The sequence below is a fragment of the Homo sapiens genome, chromosome 8, assembly GCF_000001405.40.
Source record: "Homo sapiens chromosome 8, GRCh38.p14 Primary Assembly".
Lineage (NCBI taxonomy): Eukaryota > Metazoa > Chordata > Mammalia > Primates > Hominidae > Homo > Homo sapiens.
In genome coordinates, this window is record NC_000008.11 from 124,717,295 (window position 1) to 124,735,720 (window position 18,426).

The window sequence follows — 18,426 nt, forward strand, 5'->3', positions numbered from 1 at the left end:
CAGCCTGGCCAACATGACAAAACCCCATCTTTACTAAAGATACAAAAAAAAAAAAGCCGGGTGTGGTGGTGCATGTCTATAGTCCTAGCTACTTGGGAGGCTGAGGCAGGAGAATCTCTTGAACCTGGGAGGCAGAGGTGGCAGCGAGCCAAGATTGCACCACTGCACACTCCGGCCTGGGGGACAGATACTCGGGAGGCTGAGGCAGGAGAATCACTTGAACCTGGGAGGCAGAGGTGGCAGCGAGCCAAGATTGCACCACTGCACACTCCGGCCTGGGGGACAGATACTCGGGAGGCTGAGGCAGGAGAATCACTTGAACCTGGGAGGCAGAGGTTGCAGTGAGCTGAGATCGCGCCACTGCATACTCCGGTCTGGGGGACAGAGCAAGACTCCATCTCAAAAAATATATATATAAATAAAAATTAAAAAGAAAAACAGCAACAGTGCTTTTTCCCCATTGCACATAATCCTACTATACAAGAGAATTGACTTATTCCATGTGTCTCCTTCAACTGCACCTCACTCCACTAGAATGTAAGTTCCAGGAGGGCAGGGATTTGTGTCCATTGTGTTCACTGCTAGAGCCCAGCACTTAGAACCTGGTACTAGTAGCTTCTCAAGTATGTTTTGACCAAATGAATTAATTAGAGAAATACAAAGCAGTGCAACACCACACAGCCATTAACAATGGCACTGCTAACAACTACACACACGGAAAGGCAAGGACGCCAGGCCGCTAAGTGAAGAAAGAAGTTTCTGACACAGTCTTGGCTCCCTGACCCTTTGCTGAAAATGTGCGAGCCCTTGTGAGTGTGAACATAACCCACTTTCTCATCAAGCGCTTGTGGGTGACTTATTTTTTACTTAACTGAAGTTTCTAGTTTTTCTTCCATTAACTTTACGTTACTTACATAATCTTTGAGAAGTAATCCCTCATGAAATGCTCTCAAAACATCTGCTAATTTTTTTTTTTTAAGAAAAAAGCTTCCTCCTCAGTGACTTAATTAGGGTGTTCCTAATTAAGGCCAGCACAACATCAAAGAGGCCAGGTTCCAGGGGACCCCCGCTCCAGGTCAACTTCTGGTTGCAGGATGACCTCAGTCCCTCCAGCGGAGGCTCAGACAGAGGGCTTGGCTGTCGGCTAGTCCTGGCTCTGCTCCCCGCTCCCTGTTTCCTATTGGGGTGCCTCATCCAATTATTCAGGCCCTCGATCACATCCTGCTGCCGAGCGGGCTTTGAAGGTTCAGTAAACAGCCACTTCAAAACAAAGAGGGGCCATTAAACCAAACTCAAAGACTTCCTTAATGGCTGCGTGCTCGGCTGCAGGAGAGGAGTCCGGCCTCAAAAGGGAGGTCTCCCTGGGAACTAATCCCTGAGCTCTCCCAGCCTCCTTCTGCAAATATCTGCCCGCTTCCTGCTCTGCACTCAATCACTCGGGGTGCAGAGTGGTTACTGGAGCGACCCTTGACAGAGGGGCTCCTCCAGCAAAACAAACATGTGTCGTGTGGCTGCCACCTTAGACAACCCTATTGCACACTTCGATCTCACAGCTCAGCTGCTCCCAAAAACTGCACTGGCCTGGCCCAACAACTTCATGTCCGTGGCCAGGGCATATTCCTCTTAATTAGAGGGAGACCCCTTGAGCTTCTGGAAGAAACTCAGAGGTGAGTCTAGATTTTTGTGTGTTCTTATCTGTCTCATCCTGAGTCCTAATGGTACAAATAGAGCGATCAAGGACATGAATGAAATACACCTGTTACAGAATCTAAAATGCTAGGCTGCAAAAGCGAGAGAGAGCCCAGTCCTGTGGAGAGGCACACAGACCCTGGAGCCAGACTGCCTGGACTCAACTAACTCCCAGCTATGCTTCTCACTAGCTGTATGACATGGGCAAATGGCTTAACCGCGCAGCACCTCAGTTTCCCCATCTGTAAAATGGGAATTATACTAGTTACTAAGACTACCTCGCTGGGTGGTTGGAAGATTAAATAAGTTTGTGTCAAGCACTTAGCATAGTGCCTGGTTTGCATATAAATGCTTTTAAAATAAGCAAAATAAAACTCAGTTCCGAGCGAGGGTGTCACCCAGATCAAAAGCCTTCCTGGACTCTGTACTCCCACCCTAAATGGGAATCAGAGGCCCTCCCCAGAGCCCCCACACAATCTTGGGCTGATCTCTATGGTGGTGTGGATTACACTGAACTCTAATTACCTGCCTGCCTGTCTCCTAGACTGAGCACTTCAGGGCAATGACTGTCTATACTGTCCACAGGTGTTCCTCCACCCCCCAGCAGCACCTGACATGCAGTAGACATGCCATCGTATTTGACGAATACATGTACTGTGTCCTCTCAAATTACTTATATGTTGAATGTTGAAAAGCACTGCACTTGTCTCTACTGCATTATCAAACTGAAGGCATAGGTTGCTTCTATTCTTTGAAACATCTGAGTGCCACTATCAGCAGGAGGTTCTGCCAGGAATTACTAGGGTGGCTCAAATAGATACGAGCATTTATTTAGCACTTATTTCATGCTAAGCCCTCGACTTTTACTTATTTAATACTCAACAACTTTAAGAGGGAAGGATTATTCACCTCTTCTCCCATTTTACAGGTAAGAAAATCAAGGCTCAGTAAACTTAACTTGCTCAGAGCAATAGAGCTAGGAAACGCTAGAGCCGGGCTTCAAAGCCCAAGGATAACCACTTTTTAAGGTAGGATATAATCAATACTAGGTAGAATGTCACAAAGAATGTGAAAAATGGCTTTAGGGTTATCGAGCTTTGAGGGAAAAGGAGGCACCAGAGAATAAGGTCACTGTCTAATGGGGCCTAAGGATGAGAAAGATTTCAGTAGGCAGCAATGGCAGAGACAGGACAGGACAAACAACAAAAGTGAGGAGCACAGGCTGTGTCAAGGAAGCCTGGGAGTCCGAGTTAGGGAGCACTGGACACATAGCGGGCCACTTAGCTGGGGCCAAATCACAGGTGTCCTCACACAAAAGGTTAAGGCAGGACTGCCACATTCGGCCCATGGGAAGAACCCAGATGTGGCCAAGACTTGGGAAGCTGCTGCCACAGGGCAGACTAGAGGCACAGGATGGCCACTTTTGGTGGTTGCCCCAGAAAAAGGAGGAAACTCAAAGGATGTAGATGGGAAAAGATGACCCTAATAAAGCAACTTTCCCTCCCCCAGGCCTCAATGTATCTGACTTACAAATGTCCTAGCCAAGGACCCCACCCTCTCCTTCCCTAATAAACAAACAGTAGGGTTTGCAAATACAGAATGCAAATAGGTCCTGCTGGGCCAGCTGACCTTTGTAATGAACTCAGGGGCGATTTACTTAGCAAGAAAAAAACTCAACTTCTCCATTTCCTGCAACTTCACTGCAAGCTCTAAATACAGCTCCATAAGGGTGGGGCAGTGTCTGCCTAAGAAGTGGTGGAGATAATTACTCCACTGATTCTAAGACTTCAAAATACCTCATTCCCAAATCTACAAGACAGAATAGTAACTGCTTCTAACATTTGAGTGGACGTTCGCCAGGCAATGTGTGAAAACCTTCACAAGCAATGTTTCACTTCAGAATCCTCCAACAACTCTTATCAGGTTCATCAGACCCATTTTGCGGAAGAGGAAACCAAGACTTACAGAGATTAAATAACTCGCCCATGGGATTTGAGTCAGATTCCTTTAACTTCAAGGTCAACTCTAGCTCCAGAATTTCTATGGAGGGGTTTAGGGGCAGTGTTGTAGCCAGCAGAAGGTAGAAGATAGAAAGCTGTGTTGCAACGCAGGCACACTCTAATTCTCTAGATGATATGTTACAGATCTGCAACTGTTCCGTACGGTAGCTACTAGCCATACACGGCTATTTAAATTTAAACAAATGAAAAGTGACTAAAAATAAAGTCAATTCCTTGACTGCACTAGCCACACCTCACGTACTCAATAGTCACACGTGGCTAGTGGCTCACGTATTTAACAATTTCCATCATCGCAAAAAAAAAAATCACAACGGACAGAATCAATAAATCATGGCAAAGTATTCTAAAATCCTTTGTTGCTGTTTATTTTTATGTTTCAGTTTATTTACTTTAACATTTAACTCTAATTTTTTTTTTTTTTTTTGAGACAGAGTCTCATTCTGTCGCCAGGCTGGAGTGCAGTGGCGTGATCTCAGCTCATTGCAACCTCTGCCTCCCGGGTTCAAGCAATTCTCCTGCCTCAGCCTACTGAGTAGCTGGGACTAGAGGTGTGCGTGATCACGCTGGGCTAAATTTTGTATTTTTTGCAGAGATGGGGTTTCACCATGTTGGCCAGGCTCGTCTCAAACTCCTGGACCTCAGGTGATCCACCCATCTTGGCCTCCCAGAGTGATGGGCACCTCGCCCTACCAGAAAAGGCTTTGAGGGAAGACTTACACAGCTCAGTGATTCTCAGCCTTGGACATCACCAGAATTACCTGGGGTGCTTTTCAAAATCTTAATGCCATGAATGTACCCCAAGGCACTGATCAGAGCCCTGGCCCAGGCAGCAGCATCTCCAAGCTCCCAGGGAACCCAATGGACCCTGCTCTGTAACCACACGCATGCAGCCAAATGAGGTACACCTGCCTAGAACCTCGCCTTCTGGTGAGACCCATTCCCACGGCCCTTGGAGCCCCTGTCGCATAGTAGGCAGCAGAGGGGACCCAGGCAAAACCTGCTGCCCACCTCCATGCCCAGGAAGCTGCTGGTGCTGAGTGAGCTGAAACTTTCTACTGCTTTGAGAGAAAGCAAGCAAATAAAAAGACACACAGTTCAAAAGGCACTCAACTCAATTGATTTTTTTTTTTCACCCACTTACATTAGACAGGAAAAGAAAAACAACTTAGAACCTATGACCAAGGCCAGATACGCCAAGAGGCAGCACAGGAAGGAGTTTTGTTGGTGAGCCCATCCACTTCTTCAAACACAGACTTACAAGGGCCCTTGTCCAGCCCCCAGAGAATCTTAAACAACCCAAATCCTCCCATTTGCTCAGTAGGTAAAAACACTGTCACCTCCAAACAAATCGGGAAGCAGGCGAGATGAGAGAGCCCCAAGCCTAGGACTTCCAGGTGTTGAGACGGGGACTGCTCTGGAGTGGATTCTGCACTGGGAATTGCTACTTTTAAGTTTTTGGTTGTTCGGTTGTTTCTGATTTGCCTTGGTGGCTCATACTCAGATGAAACCTGCAGTCTACTGCTAATTCAAGGGAGAACCTCAGCAATCGTGACAATGGGCTTCCTTAATGCTCAGCCAATTAATTTACTCCTCAATTTCATTTTCCTCTCCTGTTTGCTACTTAATAAGGCCATATCAGCAGTGCTATCTCCAAATCTGAGTTAAACGGCTCACAGCATCAGTTAGTTCCCTTTAAATGGCCCCCAAATTTCTTGTCTGACATCCTAGGCAGCTAAATCTGTCCTCTGGCTTTTGTTTGGTCTGGAGTGAGGTATTTCTTTGTTTTTGCAGAGGTGTGGGTTTTTGGGGTAAGTGTCCTGAAGGCAGTTCCGAGAAGTAATGGGGAACTCAAAGTGACCTCATTTGTCCATACCCAATTCGAACATCTAAATGGTCTCACTACAGAAGGAATCTTGCCAGCTATCGCCACCCATGCCCGTGAAGATGGAAAAAGCCGAGATGCAAATTGGAGATAAAGCATCTAATGAATCAATAGTTTCAACCTTTTCACCCTCCAAGCATTTTAACAGCCTTAAGTAAGCTAGCCAAATTGACAGACATCATTTTAGCTTTTTTCCTTTTCCCTGTGGCTGAGGTGCAAAAGAAGAGTTCAAAGGGCAAGAGGTCAGCAACTGAGAACACATAGCACACAGGGAACAAACTTAAATAGTGAACAATTTTTTAGTATATCTGAAATGCAAATTTAATGGGAAACCCTACGTTTTTACTTGCTGAAATCATTATGCCACGTTTGGTGCCTGAAACACCACTGATGCTCAATAAATACTACGGAATGAGTATATGTTACTCTAGTAAGAACTGGGCAATGGCTGAACCAGGCAAAATCCAAACTCAGCTTACCTTCTATGCAAACCAGGACCTAGGAATGACTTCTCTTGATTTGGAGCATTACAAACTGCGGAATTTCAGAACATAAAGGTTCACAGCATCAAGCTAGAAGTTCCAAAAAATTTGACTAAATAGTAAAGGGTTTTCACAAAAACTAAATAGGGAGGGGGTTTTCACAAAGAAACACTCAAACCAGTATAGAAACGATTTCCAAACAACAAAATTGGCACCCAAAAAACCAAAAAGATGACTCTACATAGAAGAGGTCCTAAATCTCTGGGCACCCATCCCAGGCAGTTCCTGCTGTCGATTTTATGACATCTTTACTTCACCTTCTTCTCCCATGGGCCCAAAACGAGGAAGCTGTAAAACCCTGGCCAAATACAACCATTTGCTAAGAGAAAAGCCAACATGGGGCCCATGTGTCCTTTACAAGTGCTCTGCTTGTCCTGCCTTTGGTGGCTGTCACCGTTTATAGGGAGCAGCCCACCTCCCTCAGAGCACCTGGCTGAGGCCTTGGTTGGGTTTTCAGTGCTGTCCTGGAGAAAACTTTTTTTTTGAGGCCTCCAAGGGAACTCCTGCAGAGACTGATGCTCTTCTCTAGGCTGAACCACAGCCCTTCCTTCATGACCACCATATTGGATTCATATTACCTGTTTACAGCCCACAGGACAAGGAGCTCTCCAAGGGCAGAGCCTAGCAAAAGGCCTTCTACACAATTGCCCTCCATAAACAGCAAGGAAGTGTATCTCTCTTCTGATGGGAACCCCAAAACAAAGCAGTGAGGGGTAAAAAAAAAATCCTGAAATCACTATCCAGTGTTGGACCCACTACCCACATTCTCCATCCTATGATATGGGAGGGAAAATATCACGACATGGCTTCGAACCACAAAAAGATTTCCATGGAATTCAAGAAGTCCCTTTAGCAGTTCTAATTTTAGGCAGAACTTAGGAAAGAGGATAGTGATGGCAAACACAGGTGGGGGGCGGTGGGGAGGAACTGAACAAGGCCTCTATTCTGCTCAGCACAGGTGCTGGTAACAGGACACCCCTGTCTAAAGTGACACATGGGGTGGAGGAACCAGGTGTGGTTGGGGTTGTCTTGCGCCAGTCACATTCTATACTCCTAACCTCGTACAAAGTTCTCCCCGCAGCAGGCCCAGTTCAGCTCTCGACATGCTGATTCTTGAGCAACAAGGGTGAAGAAAATATTTGATTTCAGACATCCAACTTTGTTTTTTTAACCCAAGTTAATTATTAAAAGAAGAAAGACATCCGCAGAGTGAGCTGTCCTCAATTTTGGCCAGCAAAGTCTCCTGGTCTTAAGAACTCCCCAGACATCACCAAAATCGATGCCGGTTCAATGACTCAAAAGCAAAGGCACAAAGCTGCTGTTTGAGACATGGAGCCCTCCCTTCCCAGAGCTTGGATAGAAACTCCAAAAAGATTCCAGGACCTCCTTGATGCAGTCAAGATCGTCTACACATCGGAAGGCAGTCAACATCACTTCCAGACTACTGTTCCCCAGACAAACCAGCTATGGGCCCTTCCCTCCAGCCACGTGAATATCTTGTCTCCCCTTTCCTCTGGAACCAACTCACACCAGCCAATTTGATCAGCGATTTACTAATTTGCATGGATGGGAGGAAAGGCAGCCAGTAGGTGATTTTGCACAACACCGTTCATTAGCGACCACCACCACAGCAGGGTAGAATAAACGGGAAACAAACCACCAGGCTTCCTCTCGTCAAGGAATCGATATGTTGTTTACTAGCTGCTGCTTGCTTTACATGGTGCTGTTCCCCAGTGGAGAAAAAGTCAGGATTTCTTCCACACCTTACTGCCTGAAAAGGATAAAACCCATGCCCTGACAGCCAGCCGAGGACTTAGATGAAGCATCTTTAGAGGAAAGCACAAAGAATCCTCTCTCTCTTGCTTTTCCATGTCTTGAGGTTCTCTGGTTTCAGAAGATGGAGGGTGCCAGGCCTTGAAATTATTCCTTTTATTGTTTTCTTTTTTTCTCCAAAGAGGAAATTGACTCCCTTCCTGTGCTGCTGTACATTTTGAAGAATCAAATGCTACTAATAAAACCATTTTCCTTATCCTTTTCTCACCCAGCCTAACATCACTTCTGAGAAAATAACCTAAAAATTTTTATCAAGATGGCATTCCAAATGGGTTTCCGACATTTACGCTTTTCCCTCAGAGCAAACAGATAGGAGACCAAAGGCATTATAAACCCATTATGGGAGTTTAAAGAAGAGAACAAGAGGATAAGCAGGTCATTAGAAAGTCAGTTGATTTCAGATATTAAAAACTGACTTTTGTTGCTGGTGACTTCATGCATCTGCACACTATATACTGCTTATCAGATCTGTTCAAATTTAAAAATTTTTAATTTCCATTTAAAATGTCACTGTCATCTAATCCATGATGAAGTCTTTTAAGAAGCAAAGTCCAAGAAAATATTCAAGAATTGTCTTATGCATAAACAATCTTGGAAATCAGACATTCCCTCTCTCTTCATCTCTCGAGTCTCCAAAAGTCTAAAACTCTGCAGAACCCAAGGCATGTTTTAGTCTTCCATTCCACCTTGCTTTTAAAATTTTACTGCCAAAACAAACAAACCAAAAAAAAAAAACTTTAAAATAAATGATTTCCCATAGGATACTGAACAAACCTACTAAACTCAAACCGAAAGAAGTCAGGATACACAAACTCTAGATTCCGCCGTGACTGGGCATTAAAGAAAATGTCTTTATTTTTAACTGGAACCATGCAGGGGAAAAAACACCACCTTGGCACCCGTGAGTCCCCAGCCAGGGCATAGTGCCACGCAGCCACAGGATGGCAGGTGGAAAGCAGGACAGCCCACCCTTTGGGCAGGTCACCTTCTGAACGGCTTTCGATTCAAACAGTGAATGGGAAGAACCGAGCCTGGATTCTGGATTAAAGAACAAAGAGAAAAAACTCCAGATGTGATCACTCCAGGACTACAGTGGACAGATCCGTCAGTGTGCACTGGGGGCAACAGAATGAAAGGGGCTGTCTTTCAACAGGGAATAATCCATCTAATTCCAAGTGCCTGGACTATAAGCATTCCTGGGCAAGCAGAGTCTGGCTGCAGATTATGCTATGCTAAGGACAATTTGTGACAAAAGGCACGAGAGCTGTAGAAAGATTTCAAAATGGACAAAACCAGGACAGAGGCAGCTTGATAAAGTTCACCCTGGGTGAGGTGGCAGTTGGTTCTGAAAGGTGGAAGCAGGCCATGACAGCTGAGCATTCCTTCCCAAAGACCATCTCCGAGGCACGAAGCCTCTCTAAACCTTACACTTCATCAGACAAAAGCTCCTCCAGGCGCCCAGGCAGCGGCTGAAGAGGGGCTGTCCACACCCACTCGGTGCACAGCTTTCCAAACCTGCCCACTCGTTTTGGAAGCGAGCTTTTAATTAAACACCACCTCCCCGGATCTGGATCTGTTGAGGCAAACTGGGGCTGGGCCAGAGCCAAAGAGAAGCTCCCTAAATACACATTAAAAAAATAATTTCCCCCACCGCTCCCAATTCCCACCTCCAGCCAGCTCGCGCGGCTGGTTTTATTTCCTCTGGATGAATAACACGGGGCCCTGGTCTATCTCTAGGCACCAGAAAATCCACATCCGAGGATCAGGTTATCCCCAGTCCCACCCTTTGCAGGAAAAAACCAGGGTGTTGTTCCCCGCCCCCACGCGCGCGCGCGCACACACACATGCACGCGCGCACACACACACCATCTTCACAACCCTTCCAAGAGAAAACCTAGAGTGTGTGTCCGTTTGGGTCTGGGAGGGCAGGATACAGTTATTTCGGGGGCCCCAATCTTGCCTTTAGGCTCAGCTGGGAGAAGGCGGGGCCCCTGCAAGGCTGCCCGGGAACTTCGGCCCCGCGCCCCGCGGGAGGGCTAAGAGAGGGCACGCACACCTTTACCAGCTTCGGAACGGCCCAATTAATAACTAATTTGCTCAGATACCCCACTCCAAGTAGACCTGACAGCCAAGGAGGGACTGGCTTTCCCTCTCAGTCTCCTAGGCTAGGGGACTCCTTCCTGCGAGCGGGCAGAGCCCCCACTTCCTCCCCACCACCGCGCCAGGCGCCCCCACCCCGTGCCCGGAGGAATCAGGTGTCCTCCCGGGCATCCAGCCCCCGCGGGTCCCAGACACTTACTTCAGGGACAGACAATGGGAAAACTTGCAGCCAGTGCCTTGAGCCCCCGAGGGAAAGAAATGGTGCCGCCCCCTGGGACAATGAGCGGGGGAGATGGCGTGGGACAGCAGACACCCCCCAGAGAAGCCACCCGCCCAGTGACCCCGCAGAGCCCGGAGCAGCGCCCCGGGTGAGCAGGTGACACTCCGGCCGGGAGCTCCCGCAGGTGGCCGGTGGCCACACTGCAGGGAAGGGCCGGGTGCCCGGCCCGGGGTGGAGGCGAAGCGCGGCGGCGAGGTCAGAGCGCGGCGGCCGGCGCCGCAGCCGCACCCCCGGCGTCCTACCTTCATGTCGCTGATGATGGTCTGGAAGAGGCCTCCGAGCGCGCTGCATTCCTTCTCAATCACAGCCTCCATTTTCCCGGCTCCGGCAGGGCGAGGGCACACACGCGGGGCCGCTGGACTGCGCGCGGGGCCGGGGCTCGCTCACCCCAGAAGGAATTTCACCTTCCGAGAGACCCACCTCGGACTCGCAGCCTCTTCTGCAGCGAGGACGGGGTGCACCAGACCGACTGTTCTCTGCCCAAAATAATAACAGTAATTTAAAAAGCCAAACCGCTCTGTAGGGTATTCGCCTACAAGCAGCGCTCGGCTCCTGGCCTTAAAAATGCCGGGAGAAGACTGACAATCAGGCCACCACTGGTGCCCACTACGGAAACGGCAAAGCCCATCTTGATGCAGAGAAAATCGCCCGCTGACCCGGGGCCAGCGCCATTGAAAAACGCAAGATTTTCCAATTTAATAAATTTTTCTGCAATTAAAAAAAAATCGCCCAACAGCAGAGCGGGTCAGCTCGCGGCGTCCGGATCTGTTGCTCGCAGCTGCGGCCGCCGCCTCCTTTTCACTCCTGCGCGCCCGGCCCCGGCGCTCGCTCTGGCTGGGCTCCCGGGGACGTTCGGAGGGGCGCACGCGCGCTCGCGGCCGTGCCCGCCAAGCGGAGGCGCGCTCTCGCGGCCGTGCGGCCGCCGCACGCGGGCGGGGCTGGGAGCGCGCGCCCGAGAGGCGCGTGGGGCACCCGCCGCAAAGAGGAGCCTGCTGGTCTGCTGGCGGGCAGGCGGCGCTGGGCCGGAGCCTCTCCCTCCGGTGCGCACAGCGCACCCTCTCCTCCCCCGGCCGCCCGTCGCAGCGCGGAGAGGGCGTGTCGGCACCCTGCCTGGCGAGCGCCCACCCCTACAATGGCTGCGAGCGCGCGGGACGGAGGGTGCACCGCCGCTCCCCGGGGACTTGCACGGGTGGCGCGCCTAGCCCAGAGCCCGCTTGTAGTGAGCGCTCAGTAGGGCGGGAAAGCTGCTGCCGCTACTGCGGCCTTCTGAGAAGACGCCCATTCTCTGATGTCAGGACTGCATCGCCGAGTCCTGATTGCAAATAGCGAAATATATAATTAAGGAGAGTTCGGGGGCGTATCCTGCAATGGGATGCCGAGTTCGATAAAGTTGCAGGATGCTGGGAAAGTGGATTGATTTGCTGTTGCTAAATGAATGGAAACAGCGTTAGAGCTTCTGTCCACGATCCATCAGTCTATCGAGATTGCTGATTGCCTATGACTTGGACGGTTGATGGTTTTCAGGCCCACTGAGAGCAGCCAGCGTTGGTATAACCGCAGGGAGCCCTCCTGGGAGGTTGAACCTGCAGAGCGCAAATGTGCCCAGGTTGATTTGGGGCCTAGTGGTCCATTTTCACAGCTCCACTGCCTATCTGCATAACCAGGAGCCCTCATTCAGATGAACGCCAAATGGGCCAGAGGGAGGAGAATCAAATGAGCAACTTTTAAAAGATATTAAGACATAGGCACCTAACTCCGGACAGTTCCTTTAACCCTTGAGCTAACCATTTGAAGCACAAAACATAACAAAAGAAAAGACTGGGGGGAGTGGGGCCAAAAGAAACCAAGTGCAAAATTCTGTACACTTGTGTCAGATTCACTCCGTAATGGGAAAAGGTCTGGCTTTGAAAACTTTATGGATCAAAGGGATGCATGGAGTTACACAGCACAGCTGCAGAAGATAATGTTCCCCTGGATCACTCTGCCCAACTCTTAACTGCAACCCACCTTCCCCATCCGTCTCCCCGAAATCACCCGGAAGGGTGTTACCTTCAGGAAGTAACTGATCTCTTGATCACCCCTGCTGGATCCTGTCCCCAAGGGCGTTCGAATGCATCCGACTCATCTTCACCTTGCCAATAACGGGTGCTTGACACATCGTTTGCTGCCAATCATTATTGTGATTTTAATACTATTGGTATTCTAACTATCAAGATGACTGCTTGTAGAGCCAGATTGCCTGGATTCAAACTCCAGTTCACAACCTACTAACTGTATGCCTTTAGGTATGTTACTTAACCTTTCTGGGCCTCAGTTTCCTCATCCATCTGTAAATGGGGATAATGATGGCTTCTACCTGATAGGGCTGTTCTGAACATTACATGAGCTGATCGATGAAAGCACTTCAAGTGGTACCTGGCATCTCGTAAGTAATCATTCGATAAATCTTATCAACAGAAGAAGCAGGGATGAGGCCAAGGCTCAGGTCCAGCCCTGGCCCCATTTCACTTCTGTAACATTGGTGTGCTGTCCCAGGCACATTGCTGAGGGTCTACTGTGTGCATTCTGGGCATTTTATACGTATTATGTCTACTTGAAGGAAATTATCATTCTGGTCCTTGTTGCACTGTTGGAAGGAATCCAACCCTGGTTTTCTGACTTCCATGCCCCAGGTCTCTCTTTTACCCAGCCTCCTGAACTCCTGGGATAAGGGGCCTTAGCCCAGTGGACACTTGGTCTAGCTTTCCTGCCACATGCTTAAATTTCAATGCCCCAAATACCCCAACTTTAGCAATGTTTGCCAAAGCATACCTCTCTTGTGGCCTTTTTCCCTGGGCCTGACCACCAGGCCCTTGTCTCTCATGAGAACTCCTTGAAAGGGAGGCTGGAAAAGTGTTCCCAGATGCAGGAAAGTGGGAGTGACACCTGGCAATTTTTTTTTTTTTTTTTTTTTTTTGAGACAGGGCCTCACTCTGTCACCCAGGCTGGAGAGCAGTAGCGCGATCTCGGCTCACTGCAACCTCCACCTCTCAGGTTCAAGCGATTCTCCTGCCTCAGCCTCCATGTTGGTCAGGCTGGTCTCGAACTCCTGACCTCAGATGATCTACCCGCCTCGGCCTCCCAAAGTACTGGGATTACAGGCGTGAGCCATTGTGCCTGGCCAGCTGTCATACATTCTTTCCTTGTTTTCAGATTCTCCTTTGTTTCTGGCTGTTGGGGACTTCCCTTCTTTTAGACTGGCTCTGCATATATTTAAAGAGATTCTGATTACATTTTACCAACTGTGTCTACGTGGCTATGGCAGGAGGGGTTTCAGGTTATAGAATCTGCCTCTGCGACAATAGGGTGTCCCGTTTTTGTTGTTTACATGATGAAATGTTGGGTTTTGTGTAATGTATAATATTTTACACTTTTAGGTAAACTCAGATGCCTCTGATGGATTCGAAATAACCAGATATATTTCTGAATTGCTTCATATGGTATGTAAACTTAAGGTTTTCTAAACTAATATCTTTTTCATGCTCTTTTATTGCTACTCTGACCAGACCCTTATCTTACTTATAAAATATATATTTTTCTCATCATGCTTATATGGTACAGAAAGAGCTAAGCCCCAGAAATACTGTTAATGAGAGGGAGATCAGGTCCTGGACAGTCTTGGTTTATAACTTGCAGCAGGGATATCTGTTCCCCTGAGAGCCCAGTTCTCCATATCAAGGCACTGCAGAAGTCAAATTAGTAGTCAGCAGGCAGCTTGGGAGCACATAAACAAAGCAAAGGAGATTGGATGCTCCTGGGAGGACAGGCGTGGTTTGGTACAAAGCAGGTGCTCAAGAAATGTCTCAGGAATGGAACCCAACCAGGTTCCTACCCCACTAGAGAGCAGACACAATGTCTTGGCGACCTAGAACCATCAGATACAGCCTCTCTTCCTCAAATAGTCCTGGAGAAATACAAAATATTATGACTTCTTTCCCCTTTCGGATCTTCCAACCCCGCTATTTGACTCCCATGATTGGAAGCTACAAACTGGCCTGCAGAGGAGTTTTTAAAATTGGAAAATCTAAAAAAAAAAAAATAAAAAATTGGGAAATCTAAAAATATTTAGAAGTTGGGAAACTTCACCTCAAGGAACAAAGTTTCAGCACTTCCAGGAAGATAGGAACATGTGGCAATTCAGGGCTCACATTCCCACCTGGCCTAGGCCTGGGGGACAGCTGGTCCGTGGGGGGAGAACTTGCTCTTTACGCTCCCCGCCACCCCCCTTCAGCCTTGCTACTAATCAGTTCATCACCTTTCATTGGTTTCCTGCCCCAGTGACACATTCTGGACATTAGGGTTATATTTCGGCATTTTTCAGCCTGCCATCCACAAAACACATACAAAACATCTCTTAGGGTGAGTCAATGTGACAGATATTTTTAATTGATCCTCGCTAATTTCATTTTCAAAAGGGGCCTGTTTCTAAATGGGAACTTTTATATGCTGATAACTCCCGAATTTGTCTAAAGAATTTAATGACTCGATCAGAAAGAATTCTGTTTATAGGTGACCAGGGCGAGCTTAAGCCAATTTTGTTTCATAGATGAGCTATGGTAATGATAAATATACAAATAACTAACCTTTAGTGTATACTTACTGTGTGCCAAGTACTATCTTAAGTAATCTCACTCAATCCTCACAAAGCCTTAGGAGTTAGCACTTCGATTATCCTTATTTTACAGATGAAGAAACTGAGGCACAGAAGGTGGGTCAGGAGGGAGGAAGCAAAAGAGCTAGAATTCAAACATAGCAGCATGACTTCGAGCCCACTGTCTTAACCACTTCAGATAACTGCCTCTAATGCAAAGACCCCTCTCGAAGGTCAGAAGTTTCACAAACACTGCCTTAAGTCTCATGGCTAACTGGGAGGCCCCACAGAGCAACGTGGCTGTGCATTAGACTCACCTGAGGAGCTTTTAAAACATACCTAAGCTTGGCTAGGCACGGTGGCTCACATGTATAATCCAAGCACTTTGGGAAGCTGAGGTGGGAGGATCACCTGAGCCTAGGAGCTCAAGACCAGCCTGGGCAACATAGTGGGACCGCATCTGTACAAAAAATTAGACAGCTGTGATGGCATGTGCCTACAGTCCCAGCTACTCAGGAGGCTGAGGTGAGAGGATCGCTTGAGTGCAGGATGTCAAGTCTGCAGTGAGATGTGTTCACACCATTGCATTCCAGCCTGGATGACAGAACGAGAACTTGTCTCAATTAAAAAACAAAACAAAACAAACAAAAAAAAAACAAAACCCAAGCTTGAAGCAAATACCATAATGGGGTAACATTTGGGAAATCTAATGAAGGGGAAATGAGATATCTTTGTACTATTCTTGCAACATTTCTATAAGTCTGAAATTATGTCAAAATAAAAAATTAAAAGAAAAAAGAATGAATTAGAATAATATTCATTGACCTGGAGGGATTTCTGCAGAAATTATTGTCTTCATAGTAAGATCCAGAAAAGTATGTGTTATGTGATCCTGCTTCTGTAAAACAAACACTAACAAAATCCATCCACACACACCCATTCACATATGCACGTGCATCTGTATGTCTTTATGTGATAATGGAATAAAACATGCATGATACATTTTTAAAAATTCCATAGCAAACCTCTGCCAGAGGTTCTTCTTGAATTGTTTAGGAGTAGAACCTGGTCCTGGGTACTTTCTTTCAAAGTTTCCTAGATCAGTGTTCTTAATGTTGCCACACATTTGAATCACCTGGGAAGCTCTGAAACAGCCTGATGGCCAGATGACAGCCCAGGACAATTAAATCAGATTCACTGGGAATGGAGCCCAGGTATGGATGTTTTAAAATTCCCAAGGGGATTCCAATGTACAGCCAATTTGAGGACGAGGCAAGGTCCTTTGAGCAGCCAGAGTTGAGAATCACTCCTGAGGAACAAGGGAACTCATGTGTGTAGCCCCTACTATGTGATAGGCCTTTGACATCCACTTTAATCCTAGGAATAGCCAGTGAGGTAGGAACTCCCAAGGAAATAGAGGCTGGCTCCAGAGATCAGATAGCCTGCCAGAGGTCACAGAACTACAAGAAGGCAGTGCACACTCTAACCCCATCATCCACTGGGCAGTTTGGCAGGAAGCGGGGAGGGGAGTTGTTTTGGGAAGACTTCACTGACTCTCAATCTCTCTTCTCCAAGACCACAGGGGTTGAAATTTGTCTAATAGAGATTCTTTCCTTTGGGTTCCTCCTCATAGGAGCTATTAAAAACAATAACAAGCCTGGCACGGTGGCTCACACCTGTAATCCCAGCACTTTGGGAAGCCGAGGCGGGTGGGTAACGAGGTCAGGAGTTCGAGACCAGCCTGGCTAATGTGGTGAAACCCCATCTCTACTGAAAATACAAAAATTAGCTGAGCATGGTGGCGGATGCCTGTAATCCCAGCTACTCAGGAGGCCGAGGCAGAGAATTGCTTGAACCCAGGAGGCAGAGGTTGCAGTGAGCCAAGATCATACCACTGCACTTCAGCCTGGGCAACAGAGTGAGACTCCATCTCAAAAAAATAAAAATAAAAAATATAACAACAAATAGTCATGAAAGGAGTTGCATGTTAACAGGATCTTGATGTCTGCCCAGTGAGTGCTTGATGTTTTGAAAGGAGGGGAATGTCAGAAAGATGCTCAAATATGGGACAAGAATCTAATTTAAAGGGGTAGGTCTGATTTTTTGTCATTTTCGTGCTCAAAATCCCTTCCTTCACCAGCCTCATCCCAGGCCTTATTGAAAGTTCCAGGTGTGGCCGGGCATGGTGGCTCATGCCTGTAATCCCAGCACTTTGGGAGGCCGAGATGGTTGGATCACTTGAGGTCACGAGTTTGAGAACAGTCTGGCCAACATGGTGAAACCTCATCTTTACTAAAAATACAAAAATTAGCCGGGCGAGGTGGTGGGCAGCTGTAATCCCAGCTACTGGGGAGGCTGAGGCAGGAGAATTGCTTGAACTCAGGAGGCAGAGGTTGCCATGAGCAGAGATCACGCCACTGCACTCCAGCCTAGGCAACAGAGTGAGACTCAGCCTCAAAAACAAACAAACAAAAAAACACACACAAAAAAGAATGTATGACAGCTGATGCTTTAATTGCCCCAGGAGGAGTCCTTGGTTTCAATAATCCAAGGGCTTGGCCTGCGTGTTCACCCCCAAGGAGGACCAGAGAAAGAGTCCCTAGTCCCATGCAAGTCAGGGATGTGCCACTGAGAGCCACCGACAGAGCTGGACACCCCATAACTGCTGCACTTCAAGGGCAAGTGGACGAGAAACAATCTGCCCACCAGGACAGGTGGCCGACACAGCAGCCTGGCAGTCTTAGTCTGGGATCTGGGTAGAAGTGAAAAGCATTCAGTGAAAAATTTGTGACAGAGGCCTGCACCACAGCTGCATTTGGGGGTTTCAGTTTGCCATATCTTAAATGGATCCAAAATACTTAAAATGAAAATTACTGTGAAAAATTGTTACTGGTCTAAAATAATCCTGGGTAACCCAGAAGCAAATGAGAAATGGCTCTGAGGGGATCCACCCTCAATCAAGTCCTCACAAGATTCCTGCAGAAAGCCTCCTGGAATGAGCTTAGGATTCAAAACTATAAAGAACTGATCAATACAAGGCCACAGTGCACTCATCACACTCAAGAATCAGCAAACTCCCAGCAGGGCTGAACCCACAAGAACTGAAGCTAATCCATCAATCTGATAGAGGTAAGCAAATTTAAAATAATTCAAATATAAAAGAAGGACACAAAAACTGACACTATGAAAAGAGAAAAGCATCGTGAAAAAGGAATCAAAGAAAGCCTAGAAACGAAAATTACAGTCACTGGAATTACCATGTATATTTGAACTATATATGGACAAGTTAGAGAACTGAATAGACATGGAGCTGAAAAGGGAATTTTTTAAATCAGAAAGTTCAGAAGGAAGCCCAGAAATAAAGAAATATTAATAGAAAATAGACAAAAGAGGTTAGGAGACATGGAGGACATGAGAATACAGCATATTGCTAGTTCAAGAGAAAATGG

General features: G+C 47.4%; 1 protein-coding gene and 1 long non-coding RNA gene across 36 annotated transcripts in view; one reads left to right on the forward strand and one right to left on the reverse strand.

The window, feature by feature from the left end:
• The window catches only part of MTSS1 (MTSS I-BAR domain containing 1), a 177,690-nt gene extending 166,511 nt beyond the window's left edge, over nt 1-11,179 (reverse strand). For 29 of the 31 annotated variants that reach the window (XM_047422493.1, NM_001363301.2, XM_047422490.1 and 26 more), the window contains exon 1: nt 10,590-11,179. In XM_047422493.1, the coding sequence (XP_047278449.1) occupies nt 10,590-10,661 (72 nt within the window). In that variant the 5' untranslated portion in view covers nt 10,662-11,179. The other 2 variants (XM_011517403.2, XM_017014091.2) reach the window with 2 other exon arrangements.
• A 65-nt stretch (nt 11,180-11,244) lies between these two features.
• LOC105375741 (uncharacterized) overlaps nt 11,245-18,426 on the forward strand; it is a 28,835-nt gene continuing 21,653 nt past the window's right edge. For 3 of the 5 annotated variants that reach the window (XR_002956670.2, XR_001745686.3, XR_001745688.3), the window contains exons 1-2: nt 11,245-12,772; nt 13,764-13,826. This is a non-coding gene — a long non-coding RNA (uncharacterized LOC105375741). The remainder of the gene's footprint in view (nt 12,773-13,763; nt 13,827-18,426) is intronic. The other 2 variants (XR_001745687.3, XR_928609.4) reach the window with 1 other exon arrangement.